The following is a 15505-nucleotide window of genomic DNA, read 5'->3' on the forward strand; positions in this document are numbered from 1 at the left end:
GTGGTGCATGCCTGTAATCTCAGCTATTCAGGAGGCTGAGGTAGGAGAATTGCTTGAACCCAGGAGGCAGAGGTTGCAGTGAGCCAAGATTGCACCATTGCACTCCAGCCTGGATGACACAGTGAGACTCCGTCTCAAAAAAAAAAAACAAACAAAAAAAAAACAAAAAACTTATAGCATCAGGAGAGGTTTAGGGGTGGAGCGGGACTTCTGGCCTACTGTAGCCACCCTGCCTCAAGCCACATAAGACCATAAACAGCCTTTATGCTTCCTATTGAAGATTTAAAACTCCATTCCACCACATGCCTGCCTTAATTCCATATGGACTGTGCATTCTTCTCTGTGCCTTAGTTTCTCCTCAATAAAATGCTGACAATAATTATTACCTAGAAAGTAGCAAAGTTTAAATAAGTTATTTACATAAAGCATGTAAGAGTGCCTGTCACATAGTAAATGCTCAATAAATATTATTATTATCACAATAAAACAAAACAAAAGAGGCTTACTTAATTGCTAAATTTTTGAAAAAAATTTTTTTAATTAAGTTACTCTTAGAGGTGAGGGCAGTAACAAAGCAGACTAGGAAGCTCCAGGCCCTTTTTTGCCTCATAGAAACAGCAAGATTCTACCTACAGAAACAACAGATGGACTGAAATAGCTTCATGGGAGGTCTAGAAACCAGCCAAGGATCTGCAGAAAACCAAACAAATGCCCCCAGTCATGAAAAAGCCATACTCAATTCCCACTTACACAGGCAGGGGAACAACACACACTGGGGCCAGTCTGACGGGTCAGGGGCCATGGGAGGGAGAGCATTAGGACAAATAGCTAATGCATGCGGGGTTTAAAACCTAGATGACCAGTTGATAGGTGCAGAAAACCACCATGACACGCATATACCTACATAACAAACCTACATGTTCTGCACTTGTATCCCGGAACTTAAAGTAAAATAAAAATAAATAAATAAAAGCTAAATATAGAGCCAGGCGAGGTGGCACACACCTGTGGTCCCAGCTACTTGGGAGGCTGAGGCAGGAGGATAGCCTGAGCCCAGTTTCAGGCTACAGTGATTGTGCCACTGCATTCCAGCCTGGGAGACAGAATGAGACCCTGTCTCAAAAAAGAAAAAAAAAAAGTTTAACTATGGAAAGTGATTAACATGTTAATTGGTATGACTGCAGTAGTATATGTACAAGAAGACATCATGTTGTACACCTTAAATACGTATGATTAAAAATTTAAAAAGGAAAAAAATGAAAAAGCCATACTCAAAATGGTAGAAAATTTTGTGATTTTTTTTTTTTTTTTTTGGTCACCATTGCCCCCATCTCTTTCTGGTGTGGTGCGGTGCAGTCAAGAGGAAGCCCCCCAACTCCCACCTCTTCTCTCAGGACTGAAGGAAAGGAGTGAAACTTGTTTACAATGTTCTGGCTTGTCCAAGGGTTGCGGAGGGACTGGCTTCTGTCTTGCCTGACTTGCAGGTCAGATAGAAACCATGGCATAATTTGAATATGATGTTGGGGGTCTCTGAAAGCAGTGGTGGGTAACAGGCTGTGCAAAAACATCAGACCTGCAGGCACGTAGGGGAAAGAGAAATACAATAAAACATGTAAGACCCTGAAGAGAAGCAAGGAAGAGACTTTTAGGGAAATTAAGAAATTAAAACAGCCATTTATACGGGAAAATTAGCGAGGTGGGGCGGGATGCACACACAGAGGCCAAGGAAAGATAAATGCTAGAAAAGGCCTGAGAAGGCCTAAAGCCTTCACACTATGAAGATTAGTGAAGGTCTACCCCTGCATGCAGCTGCTCTTCAAGACTGAGAGAGGGGGGCTGCTTTTTTCAAATGCCTAACTTTCAACATAAAAACATAAAGCACACAAAGGAGCAGGAAAACATGGCTCATTCAAGGGAGCAAAATAAATCTCCAGAAACAAACCCTAAATAAACACAGGATTCAGCTACTAGGCAAAGATTTTAAATCAATTGTCTTAAATATGCTCAAAGAGCTAAAGGAAACCACAGATCCACACCTAAAGGAAATTAGAAAAACTATATATGAACAAAATAACAATACCAACAAAAAGATAGAAACTATATATTAAAAAAGAACCCGGCCAGGCACGGTGGCTCATGCCTGTAAACCCAGCACTTTGGGAGGCCGAGGCTACCGGATCACTTGAGGTCAGGAGTTTGAGACCAGCCTGGCCAACACGGCAAAACCCCATCTCTATTAAAAGTACAAAAGATAAGCCAGGCATAGTTGCATGCACCTGTAATCCCAGCTACTCAGGAGGCTGAGGCAGGAGAATTGCTTGAACCCAGGAGGTGGAGATTGCAGTGAGCTGAGATCGTGCCACTGCGCTCCAGCCTGGGAGACTAAGCAAAACTCTGTCTCAAAAAAAAAAAAAAGAAAGAACCAAACAATATTTGGAGCTGAAAAATATAGTAACTAAATAAACATAGTAACTAAATTGAAAATTCACTAGGGGTTCAATGGCAGATTCAAATAGGTAGAAGAAAAAATCCATAAACATAGACAGGTCATTTAAAATTACTGAATCTGAGAAGAAAAAGTTAAAAAGAAGGAAGAAAAATAAACAGAGTTTGAGGGAATTATAGGACACTATCAAGCCAACCAATATACCCATTTTGGGCATTCTAGAAAAAGAAAGAGAAAGAAATGGGCATAGAGGTTATTGGAAGAAATATTGGCCCCATGATCCCCAAATTTGAGACAATGCATGGTAATACAAATATGAGAAGCTCAATAAACCTCAAGTAGAATAAATCCAAGGAGGACCAATATCAAGACACATTATAATTAAACTGAAATCAGCAAGAGAAAAGCAACTCATGTACAAGAGATTCTCAATAAGATTATCAGTGGATTTCTCAGTAGAAACCTTGAGGCCAGAAAGAAGTGGATGATATATTTAAAGGGCTTAAAGAAAAAAAAAGCCAACCAAGAATTTTACATCCAGAAAGATTCTTCAAAAGTAAAGGGGAAATTAGGGTATTCCCAGATAAACAAAAGTCAAAGTTCACTATCCCTAGACTTGCCCCTACAAGAAATGCTAAAGGAAGTCCTCAAGGTGAAATAAAAGAATGCTGGAGAGGAACTCAAATATGAAAATGTAAAGTTCTCTTGTAAATATAAATTCATGGACAAATATAAAAATCAATATTATTATAAGTTTGGTTTGTAACTCCACTTGTTATTTGTTACAGTATTTAAAAAACAAATCATAAAAATAATTATAAATATATGTTAACTTATTAACATATATTTAATATGTTAATATATTATATTATATATTAATATATGTTAACATATATTTACAATATCTATGTTAAATAAATGTTAATTAAGCAATATACAAAAATGTTATTGATGACATCAATAACATAAAGTGTGGGGAGGGGCTGGCTGGGATAGAACTGTAAAGGGGAAGGATTTTTACATTTAATTTTCATTATTGGCCTTATAATGTCATGGGAGTAGGGTTTTTGTATGTGATTAAAATTAAGTTGTTATCAGTATTAAATAGATTGCTAGAACTACAAGATATCATATTTAATTCCCATGGTAACCACAAGGCAAATATTTATTGAATATACACAAAAGGAAATGAGAAGAAAATCAAAGTGTGTCACTACAAAAACTCAAGTAAACACAAAAGATGTCAGTAAGAGAGGAAATGAGAGACAGAAAAGCTATAAGACATCAAGAAAACAATTACCAAAATGGCAATAGTAAATCCTTGCCTGTCAGTAGTTACTTTAAATGTAAGTGGACTAAACTCCCCAGTCAAAAGACATAGATTGGCAGAATGGATAAAAAAAAAATCCAACTACATGCTGTCTGCAAAAATTAAGCTACTTCTATGTGATTGAATATGATAAAATCAATGAAAAACTTTTAGAATTGTTTTTATAATAAAATGCTTATAGTTTAATATTAATTTTGAAAAACAAAATTGCATTTATATTACTCAAATTTATATAGTAATGTTCACCCATTCACCTCCTCCTTTTACTTCCTTCCTCTCCAACCCATCTTGTTTCAAAAATTCTCAACCAGATTTCCAGTCTGGGCAATGAAAAAAATGAATTTATACTCTTAAGGCAGAGATATTTTGGCATCATCAGATTGGGAGACTAGGTTAAATAATGGATTGTGAAATCAGACAGCCTGGACCCAAACCCTGCTCTCCCACTTATTAGACATGTGATTTCAGTATATTCATTAAATCCTTGGAACCTCAGTTTCTTCATTAAGGAAATAGAGACAATAACAGTACACATCTAATTAGATGATTAAATGCAAGGTGATTGCCAAGGCACATAACAATGCTCTCTGTAACTGAGGGTTTTATTTTTCTTGAGGTTACTATGCAAATTCAGAGAAAAGAAAAAGAAGGTGGTGGGGAGGAAGATGCCATAAAGGCATGTAGGCTTTGGATAGTAATACATGAATACATATTCATGGAACACTTAAAAATTATATTAACTCTCCAATTCCATCTCAGGGGGATTCTCTCTTCTGTACAAAGACAGTGCTGGGTGACTTTTTACACTACCATATTGGCAGCTGGGAGTTAGTGGCTATAAATACCATCCATTGTCTACCTGACTCCTAATGTCACTACTGCTTCTCTCTTGGTCTGTGTCTTGTGAGAAGACAAACCAAGCACTTGGGGTTTTCTGCAGAAACACATAACCTCTGGAAGACACAGGGCTTGGTTTTTCTTGACATACCTTAAAGCCACAGTCAAGTAGGTAGTTGACAAGGAGGAATCTAATTAGACTTGCCATCCTCATGGGAAGATGGATGGCCTAACATAGGTAAATGTGTCAGACACTCATGTGCACATTCAGGTGGTCTATCCCCTCCTCTGCATGCAGTCTCAAGTCAAGCCCAAGTTTGATGACATGAATACCAGTTAAGACACATTGTCCCATTCACTGAAGATGAGAACTCAGACTAATACGAATTTGCTGACCTTGTGACTAGAACTTTGCACCTGGTCACAATTATAGTACCCTGATTGAATAAAAGATATATTTACCTATTTTCTTGTTTTTAAAGGAGTTAATTCCTCATTTCATAGATGAAACCACTGAGGCTCAATGAAGTAAGGAAATGGCCAGGCTGGGAATAGAACCTTGAAATATAAGCTTCTTCCACAACACTGATAAGTTGAGGCAGAAGTAACTTTGGTTCCATACCTTTCAGCCTAGTAGGAGCAAGATAAGGAAAGTGAGGCCACCCTTGTTCTTATATCGCCATCACGGCAGATCTCTTACCTTCTCCTTTTGAGCCCAGTAGTCCAGTACATAACTTGCAAAGTTAAATTCCTCCGGTACTTCATAGTCATTCCATCTTGGGGCTCCAAATTCTGATAAAGACCGGCAGCGCAGCTGTGAAGGGGCAGGGTGGATGTTGTGGAAGGATTTGTGGATGCCCCAGAGGGTCCGGAACCTCATTAGCCACTGCATGGTGAAACAGTCCTCAGAAACCAGGCACAGAGTTCTCAAGTCACCACCTGCCTTGGGAAGAGATGGCTAATAGATTGGCTGTGTATCCAAAACTTTCTCCCTAAATTGGGTGCATGTTTTTGGTTAATTGCTACAGTTATAGCTTTGTTTCAGGTCACCAGAATTTGGAAGGCACCCCTGATTGATTTTGGTGGGGATTTATCTTCCCAGCTGAGGAACCACATGGCAGAAAACGCTGGGGAGGTTATATAGCTACTATTATGGGTTTGGTGCGCGTTCCTAGGGGTCTTCTCCTTCAACCTGCTAAGATGTCAGCCCAGGATGGAAGCCATATGGTCATCCCTTTTGTGGTAGAGCAACTCGCCTTTTGGAAAGTTCTGTACCTTATAGTGTCTTTACTTTAGAAACTTCCCTTTCTGCCAAGCCAAATCATGTTGTTGCCATGGAAGCTGTGATATCTTTATATGATCCCATCCCATGACTAAAGTTGATTGGTCCAGGGTTGAGCAGTCATTTCTCATGACTTTGTAACCTAAGCTGGGCCAATCATAATACCTCTCCAATGTGTGTGTGTGTGTGTGTGTGTGTGTGTGTGTGTGTGTGTGTGTGTGTGTGTGTTTCTAAACAGATTTAAATATATCAGGCTGTCTCCCTCTGGTGGAATGCACATTTTGTGTGCTGTTTGTGGTTATGATTCCTATCATGTGGAGACAGCCCCCCTACAGGCGAGAATGAAACTGATGTACAGAAACAATGAGATGAGGTGGAGTAAGAATCCTGCAGTCATTCAAGTCCCTGGTTCAAATTGTTCCTCTGCATGTCTGCCCCTGTCTTGTTAATATTCTCTGGATTCTGTAAGCCAAAAGATTCTCCTTTGCCTGAGACTGGGTTTCTGTCACTTGAGACTATAAAGATACTGAAAAATATACACCATCATCCTCAGAGCAGATGCTGCTGTTGACAAAAAGAGTTAAACTCTGTAAAATATTTGAAGAGATTTATTCTGAGCCAAATATGAGTGAACCTGGCCCGTGACACAGCCCTCAGGAAATCCTGAGACTATGTGGCCAAGGTGGTTGGGGTACGGCTTGGTTTTATATACTTTAGGAAGGCATGAGACATTAATTAAATACATTTAAGAACTGTGTTGGCTTGGTTCAGAAAGGTGGGAAAACCTAAAGTGGGGGCTTCCAGGCTATAGGTAAATTTAAACATTTTGTGGCTGACAATTGGGTGAGTTTATTTGAAGACCTGGGATTAATGGCAAGGAATGTTCAGGTTAAGGTAAAGCTTTGTGGAGACCAAGTTTTATTGTGCACCGGTATCTCTCAGACACCAGACGTCAGAGAGAGAGCAGGTTGTAAAATATGTCTTAGACCTAAAAGGGTATGTGGCTCTTAGTTGATTGTCTCCTGGATCTGGGAAGGAAGGAAAGAAAACAAAGAGGAAATGGGGTTCTTTATAGAATGTGGATTTTTCCTACAAGAGACTTTGCAGGGCAATTTCAAGGTATGGCAAGGAAATATATTTTTGGGTAAAACATTTTGATTTTCTTCTTGTTATGCCAGAGTCTGATTGGAAAGTAAGTCTTGATATACAGGGTTAAATAAAACCCATCTGATGAGAATTTATGGTTTGTAGGGCATAACTCCCTAAGCCCCTTAGATAGGAATTTCAGCAAGATAAAAAATTAGAGCTTAGGCCAGGCACAGTGGCTCATGCCTATAATCCCAGCCCTTTGGGAGGCTGAGGCAGGTGGATCATGAGGTCAGGAGTTTGAGACCATCCTGGCTAACATGATGAAACCCTGTCTCTACTAAAAATTTGAAAAATTAGCCAGGCATGGAAGTGCCTGCCTGTAGTCCCAGCTACTGGTGAGGCTGAGGCAGGAGAATCACTTGAACCTGGGAGTCGGAGGTTGCAGTGAGCCGAGATCATGCCACTGCACTGAAGCCTGGGCAACAGAGCAAAATTCCGTCTCAAAAAAAAAAAAAAAAATTCAGATCTTAGTCCTCACTGCTAATGTCACTGCACTTTCCAATGGACTGGGATGTGGCATTGAGTTCTTCCCTAGAGTAGCATTCAGGACAGCTGATACCAATGCATCAGAGTTGACACATAAAATTAAACCTCATTGCCCCTTCAGATCCTGAAATATGCTGCCAACATGACAGCAGGAACCTCCTTTATTAGGATCCTTCTTGAAGTTTGATTGGAAAAAATGGCTTAAGCTGGATCCTTTCTTTCCATGTAAATGTTGACTGAAGAAAGCTATTTCTCAAACAGCTTTGAGATTGAAGCACTTTATCATCATGAACATTTAAGTTCCCTCTTGCTCACTTTCAACAATGATAAAATACCGGCTGACAACAGACCCATATAATAGACAATAGAACTAGTAATGGCCAGTGATGCTGGGTCTTTATTTCAACTTGTTGTCAAGTGGCTGGAGCTGAGAATTGTCTGCTTTATTTAAATGAGATGTTCTCCAGTTTGATGCAGTTCCTACCACTTTATTTTGTCCCTCCTGCCTGCTTCTCCACTTATTGTAGCTGTCCAGCCCCTGTGTATATTTGAGCTTAAAATCTCTAACCTAGGCCAACATCCCAGGAGAGGCAGGAATTTCCCCAAAGTCATGATGCAATTTTAATATTGTAAAAAGTAAAATAGAGGTTCCTCTTCAAAGACTTTCCTCCCCATCTAATTAGGAATAAATAGTAACTTCTCTTAAAAGCAAAATTTATTCAAAGTCCTGTGCTAAGATTCTTAAATATCTGCTAACCGTAATAAAGAAATCAATGTACTTTATGTTCTTAGCTCCCACAATTTAGCCTAAATATTTGCCCTGGCATTCTTATACTGGTCCAAGCAAGCATTAGGCCATAGCCTGTTCCTCTTGCTTATTTAAAAGTGTTTTAATCTTTCTCAGCATTTCACGAGTTACTTCCTCTTTCCTTTGTTCTCCTCTACCTTTGCCTCTTTAAAAAAGTTCTAAGTTGCTAGCCAATCGGGACAAATACAGAATGTGAGGTCCCGTTCCAGCCAGTGGAAACCGGACACAGCAGTAGGGTGGATGCGTCAGGTTATAAATGACCCTGTCTCCTTTGTTCTATGTACTCTCCTGGCAAAACTGCTGGCAAGTGTACCATTTCTGCAGGAAGTAAAAATGGCCTTGCTGAGTAAATTAAATTTACATTCAAGTCCTATTTCTTTACGGCACCAAGGAACAAACATTTCAAACAATATTGTAGCCAAGTTGGTTCTAGAAGCCCATCACCTCTGTTACATTTTCCAACACACACCTCCTTCCACAGGCATGAGCTTAGTTTGGGTGAGAATATCAAACTCAGTTGCAATTTTTCTATGCAGGTGTCTATATGACCTCAGGGTCTTCCTTAAAATACAAACTCACCATTTTTCCTGAAGACAGTCCAAACAACCCCTTACTAAGTGACTAAAGACCAAAACAAAAGGGAGAGATATAGTGAGGGAATCCATTAACCAGTTATCATGGTTTGAACTGTGTCCCCCATGAATGTATGTGGTGAAGTACGAACCCCAATATTTCAGAACACCACTGTATTTGGAGATTGGGTCTTTAAAAATGTAATTAAGTTAAAATGAGTTATTAGGGTGGGCCCTAATCCAATATGACTGGTGTCCTTATAAAAAGAGGAGATTAGGACACAGACACACACAGAGGGAGACCATGTGAATATGAAGATAGCCAAGGAAAAAGACCTCAGAGAAAACCACCCTGATCTTGGACCTCCAGCCTTCAGAACTTTGAGAAAATCAATTTCTGTTGTTTAAACCACTCAGTCATTAGTAATTTTCATGGCAGCCCTAGCAAACCAATGTACTCCTCTTGATCAAATAAAGAAGAAATGACTTTGGCATCATCTCACAAATGTGTTTGTGATTCTAATTTAATCTTCGTCACATGAGAGGGCCAAACACAGTGCCCAGCTGTGGAGAACTGTGGTAGCTGAAACAGCATGGCCCTAGAGATCAAACAACACGGGCTCAAATTCCAGCACTTTCATTTCCCACCCACATAACTTGGGGCAATTTATTTAACCTCCCTATAAAAACATAGGCATATTGGCAGCACCTATTGCCTGAAGCCATGGTGATAAATGCACGATATCCTGCAAAAAGCATTCAGCACGGACAAGTATTTTAGAAATAAGAGCTGTTGCTAGTTAACACACTTTATAGGGAAGCTCTTATAGAGTAGTTAAGCCAGAGGAAAAAAATTTCCTTAACTTTTGGAGTTAAGGTCTAAAGAGAAGGAATGGGGATGAATACCTGAACATAGACACCATAGGACTGGTATATGTCCAGCTTTTTCACTGATTATCTGTCTATCTATCTATCTATCTATTACCTATCTATTATCTATCTATCATCTATTTATCTATCTATTACCTATCTATTATGTATCTATCGTCTATCTATCTACCTATTACCTATTTTCTATCTATCTATCATCTATCTATCTATCTATCTATCTAGATATATAAGAACCTGATCTCCAAGTGTTGAGGACTGAAAATCAGATATCTATATGTCTATGTCTGCGTCTATCTCTATCTCTGTATGTATGTTAAGCTTCATTTCTAAATCTATTTCTGTATCTATATACCAATATTTACATTTATACCTATATCACTATCTGTGTATATCTATACATTAATATTAATGTCTATAACAATAACACATGTACACTGTAGTCATGTGCCACAATATGATGTCATTGTCAGTGATGGATCACATATACAGAGTGGCCCATACAATTATAATGACATATTTCTACTGTACCTTTTCTATGTTTCAATACACAAGTACTTACCATCGTGTCATGACTGCCTACAGTATTTAATACAGCAACAAGCTACATAGGTTTGTAGCCTAGAAGCAATGGGCTATAGCATATCGCCTATATGTGTAGAAGACTATGCTTTGTGGGTTTGTGTAAGTACACTCTATGAGTTCCCATAATAACAAAATCACCTAACAATGCATTTCTCAGACGTATCTTGGTTGTTAAGTGATGCATGTCTCTATCTCTATCACTATCTCTGTCTCTATCTCTATCTCCGTCTCTGTCTCTGTTTCGATATCTATTTCCATCCACATCTGTCTTCAGATTTGACTTCACAAAGCTTAGTTTGTCTATTTCTCACCGTGCTGGACATAGTAAGTGCTCAACAAAAAGTTAGATTCTTCCCTTCTTTGTCATAATTCAGAAAACTGAGTGATGAAAGTCAGAAAGAGAAAAGCCAGTGTGCCCACAAATTATCTGAGTTATAGAAAAATGTATTTTTTCTTTCTCAAGTATTTACTATAGATGTACCATGTACAGTTTTAGATACTATTGGAGATTAATTAAACTGAAAGAGTTCCTACCCTGTTAGAGCATATCATTAAAGCACATCCTATGAAATCATTTTAAAGAACAATTTTCTGAACTGCTTAAAGTGCATTCTGAAAGCAATTTGACATGGTAGCTTTGAGAGGCAGCTGGGCTCCCCACTGTATTCCCAGATACATAGTGCCTTGAACAGCTCCTGCAACTAAGCTTTGACTTCACAGGACTTGGGACTGATAAAGCTATTTAATGAAGCAACATACTTACTGTGTTATAGGGTATCCCAGAGTTACAGAGCCAGGGCTAGATGTTTGTCTCTGTTGTCTAGCAGCTGGGTCTTTGGTGCTGTTCATGTCTCTGAACTTAAGCGCACAGTAGTAATACCTTCTTCCCAGCTCCCCATAAGGATTAGTGTGATAATTTACTTGCTGGCACTGAATGAAGTGCACGGTAAGGACTCAATAAATGTTGAGGTACCTTTTAACTCCCAGCAAATTCTGAAGCCAACCCCCTCCCCATTAGATGTTAACCATTTTTTTTGAAACTGTCACCTGGACTGGAGTGCAGTGGTGTGATCATAGCTCACTGCAGCCTCAATCTCCTGGGCTACAGTCATCCTCCTGCCTCAGCCTTTCAAGTACCTGGGACCACAGGCATGTATTACTATGCTTGGATAATTTTTTTTAGAAGGCATTCACTTTATAGAAAGTGAGCCAACTTCTGCATAGATAGAAAAGATTTCCTTCAAACATTCATCTCTGACTTTGTGCCTGTCTCCCACGGCTCACCACATTCAGAGCTGCCTGACACTAAACCAGTCCCCATTTACATGCCAGCCACTGTGCTAAACATATTACATGTACGTTCCTATTTATTCCTCTCACCCAATATCACCATTGTCATTTTGCCTCTAAAATGAAGTGCCAAGAAGTTAAGTGACTTGCCCAAGGTCACTCAACTTAAAAGTAGCATTGCCAGAACTTAAAATTGGATTACACACACACACACACACACACACACACACACACACACACACACACACAGATAGAAGCTGACCTTCACCTCTGTCTTACCTGGTACTGTTTAGGACGTAGCTGAACTAGGTCCCTGGTAGGTATGGAAAAGGAGGTTGAGCTCTCTTTTGTAGGTTCAGTTCTCTCTGATCAGGTGATCCGCAGGATTGTGCACCCAGCAGAACTTGGCTTCTGGCCACAGCGAAGGGGGACCTTGAACAGAGAACTTGTTAGGAATTGGGTAATTCAGTAGGGGGAGGAGATGCTCAGGTAAAATAGGACAGAAACAATTACAGGCCTCCACGGAGAGATAATCACTTAGAAAACAAACCATGTGGGCCGGGCGCAGTGGCTCGCGCCTGTAATCCCAGCACATTGGGAGGCCGAGGCGGGCGGATCACGAGGTCAGGAGATGGAGACCATCCTGGCTAACACGGTGAAACCCCGTCTCTACTAAAAATACAAAAAATTAGCCGGGTGTGGTGGTGGGCGCCTGTAGTCCCAGCTACTCGGGAGGCTGAGGCAGGAGAATGGCGTGAACACGGGAGGCGGAGCTTGCAGTGAGCCGAGATCATGCCACTGCACTCCAGCCTGGGAGACAGAGACTCTGTCTCAAAAAAAAAAAAAAAAAGAAAAACAAACCACGTATACGAAGTCACCTCCAATTCCGGTGGCATGGCTAGGGGTGTGAATGAACTAGATCCAATGGTGCATTTTCACTAGTTCTCTGTGGCTAACCTGCTCCCCCTTCCCAGCCCTACATCACCATAGTCTCCCTTAAATGACAGCTGAGAGTCAGTGTAGCCTAATGGATAAGAGCCTGGGCTCTGGAGGTCTGGAGGCAGAAAGGTCTGAGTTTGAGCCTTAGGTCTGCCACTTAACCTCCATGTCATCTTTGTGGACCTTCTTGCTCTGGGCCTCACCTCCCTTAATTGGTTTTCGGTTGCTTTTGAGACAGAATCTCATGCTGTCACCCAGGCTGGAATGCAATGGCATGGTCTTGGCTCACTGCAACCTCCGCCTCCCAGGTTTAATTGAGTCTCTTGCCTCAGCCTCCCAAGTAGCTGGGATTATAGGTGCCCGCCACCACACCCAGTTAATTTTTGTATTTTTAATAGAGACAGGGTTTCATCATGTTGGCCAGGGTGGTCTTGAGCTCTTGACCTCAGGTGATCTGCCCGCCTCAGCCTCCTAAAGTGCTGGGATTACAGGCATGAGCCACAGCACCCAACACCTACCTTATTTGTAAAATAGGAATGATAACAACAATACCTACCTCCCAGGGTGTTTTCTTTGCTTCTTCATTTGTTTGTTAGAACTAGATGAAATAATTTATAAAAAGCATGTAGCACACGGTGCTGGGCATAGTCGATGTTGGCTCTTTTTATTCACTTGGGATTCTCAGAGGAACAATTTGGTATCCTGGTAAAATGCAGGGTCTTTGGAATCCCAAAGTCTTGAGCTTAATTAAGTCCAACCTCAGGCACTCACAAGAAAGCTCTTGGGTGAACCATTTTCCTTTCAAAGCTTGGTCTTGACATTTGTAAAATGAAGCAGGATTTGTTAATAAGATTTGTTGCATGGGATCATTGAAAGGATTATGTGACACCAAGCCTGTAAAGCACCTGGACCAGGCATTTAGATGGAGGGTTGATAGTGATATTGCATTGGATAAACCAAGGTAGTCATAGGTAGCGGCTTGTACTATGACTTTTCTACTGGAGCCATTTTTGGGGCATTGTTAGAGAATGAGGGATCTCCAGTATTTTCATTGAAGCTGGGAAGAAATTATTTCTGATCAAAGTCATGGCTAAAGATTTCTGGAGACACCCAGGACATTCCTGACAGGACCGTGTGGCAAGCTAGGATAGTTTGGGTTTTTAATATTTAGCTTTCTGTGGCCAGTCACTGGAGAGGTGAGAAGGCAGGGCTAGTTGACTGGCCATGGTAAGCTAAACCTTAAACACCCAAAGCATCAAAGTACCAAAAAACAAAGAAACGAACAAACAAAACAACTAACCAAAAAACCTCTGTTACTAAAGAGAAGGAGCAGCCACTTTTCGGAAAAGAATGGAGACGGGGGAAAAGCCCTTGACACACTCTCTGCATCTGAGTAGTTCTCCCCTGTGGAACTGCAACATGAAGGCATGGACAAGAAGACAGGCTCTGGCACCAGGCAGCCTGGGCTTGAGTCTAGCTTTTACCAGTTACCAGCTCTGTGACATTGAGCAGATTTCTTATCCCTCTTTTCCTCAATTTTCTCATCTTTAACAAGAGGTATACAGCGGACAAAGGAAAACTCTCCAAACATTCTATGTGTGCTCCTCTTTCATTTCCCAACCTCTCTTAAAGCTAAAGTGAGGCCATTAAACTCTAGTTCTGAACAATAAACTCCATGTGGAAGTGTTACAAGTCACTTCTGGCCTAGGGCATTTATTTAAGAGCAGGTATGAGTTTTCTGTACTCTCTTCCCCTGATTCAATGCTCCTGGAAACCATATATGGAGATAGTGACATCGTAAAATGGCAAAGTCTCTATCAGCCTTGTTCTCTGAGTGACTTCATGTAGCTAAATATCCTACCAACCTCAGCTTTTTGAACTTGCTATCGTCTGCTTATTATAGAAAACCTATGATACATTCATTCATTCAGTGGATATTTAAGGAACATTTAGGCGTGCTTTAAACATGTAAGACAAGGTTGGTGCTCTCAAGAGGTTTACATGCCTATGATAGAAAGGCAAAAGCCAATAAGCAAAAAGTCAATTAAATAAGCAAGAGGATTTCAAATGGTGATACTGCCAAAAAGAAAACAGAACAGGGCAATATGATGGAGAGAGTGTGGGGAGGTGGCTAAGGATGTTCTCCCTTAAGAGGTGACATTTTGAGACCTGAAGGAGGAGAAGCAGCCAGCTAGGGAAAAAGAACTCCAGGCAAAAGCCACAGCAAGTGCAAAGCCTGAGGCTGACATTTTCAAGGCATAGGTGGGGGACTGGGATGGCAGATTACTGAGTGAGAAGTATGATAAAGTGTGAGGTCAGAGACACAAGCAGGAGACATGCCATTAAGGATCTTTATGGACATAATAAGGAGTTTGGATTCTATTCTAAGTGCAATGGGTGGGTGCATGGAAGTCTCGTGAAGATTTTAGGAGGAAAGAGACATGATCCTATTAAGTAACTCATTTTCTTGGTGACTTGATTTTGAAATAAAGTAATACAGGAAAGTAAAACATTCAGAAAAAGAGGTCAGATTTGCATTTAGAAAGCCCACTCTGGCAGTTCTGTGGAGAAGATATTTTAAGGAGGCAAGAATGGATGTGGGGATGCCAGTCGGGAGGCTACTGCAATAGACTAAACAAGTAATGACGGTGGCTCAGACAAGAGTTATGGCACTGGAGATGGAGGTAAGCAGACGGATATGGGATAGATCTTTAAGACAACCTTAGGTGGACTTGTTGATGGTTTTGATAGGGAGTGAATAAAAAGAATCAAGGATGAATCTCAGCCTTTGACTTCTTCAATAATATAAATGGTAGGTCATAATTTATATATAAAAAATGCTGAAAAGATTATATAGCACATACAAAGTCACGGAGGCTACAGAAGGCAGGAA

The 15505-nt window shown here is 40.4% G+C and overlaps 2 protein-coding genes across 36 annotated transcripts in view; one reads left to right on the forward strand and one right to left on the reverse strand.

Moving 5' to 3' along the window:
* Positions 1-11997, reverse strand: part of ACSM1 (acyl-CoA synthetase medium chain family member 1) — a 74446-nt gene extending 62449 nt beyond the window's left edge. For 12 of the 13 annotated variants that reach the window (NR_134918.2, XR_007064850.1, XM_011545730.4 and 9 more), the window contains exon 1: positions 5314-5573. Coding sequence is in view for 11 of the 13 variants with exons in the window: in XM_011545730.4 (XP_011544032.1) it covers positions 5314-5505 (192 nt within the window). In the remaining 2 variants the exon portion in view is untranslated. Of the gene's footprint in view, positions 1-5313; positions 5574-11952 lie in introns of those variants that run through there. The other variant, NM_001318890.3, reaches the window with a different exon arrangement.
* The window catches only part of ACSM3 (acyl-CoA synthetase medium chain family member 3), a 123177-nt gene that overhangs the window by 11279 nt on the left and 96393 nt on the right, over positions 1-15505 (forward strand). The gene's annotated exons all lie outside the window — the stretch shown is intronic.

This window comes from Homo sapiens, chromosome 16 (genome assembly GCF_000001405.40).
Source record: "Homo sapiens chromosome 16, GRCh38.p14 Primary Assembly".
Taxonomy (NCBI): domain Eukaryota; kingdom Metazoa; phylum Chordata; class Mammalia; order Primates; family Hominidae; genus Homo; species Homo sapiens.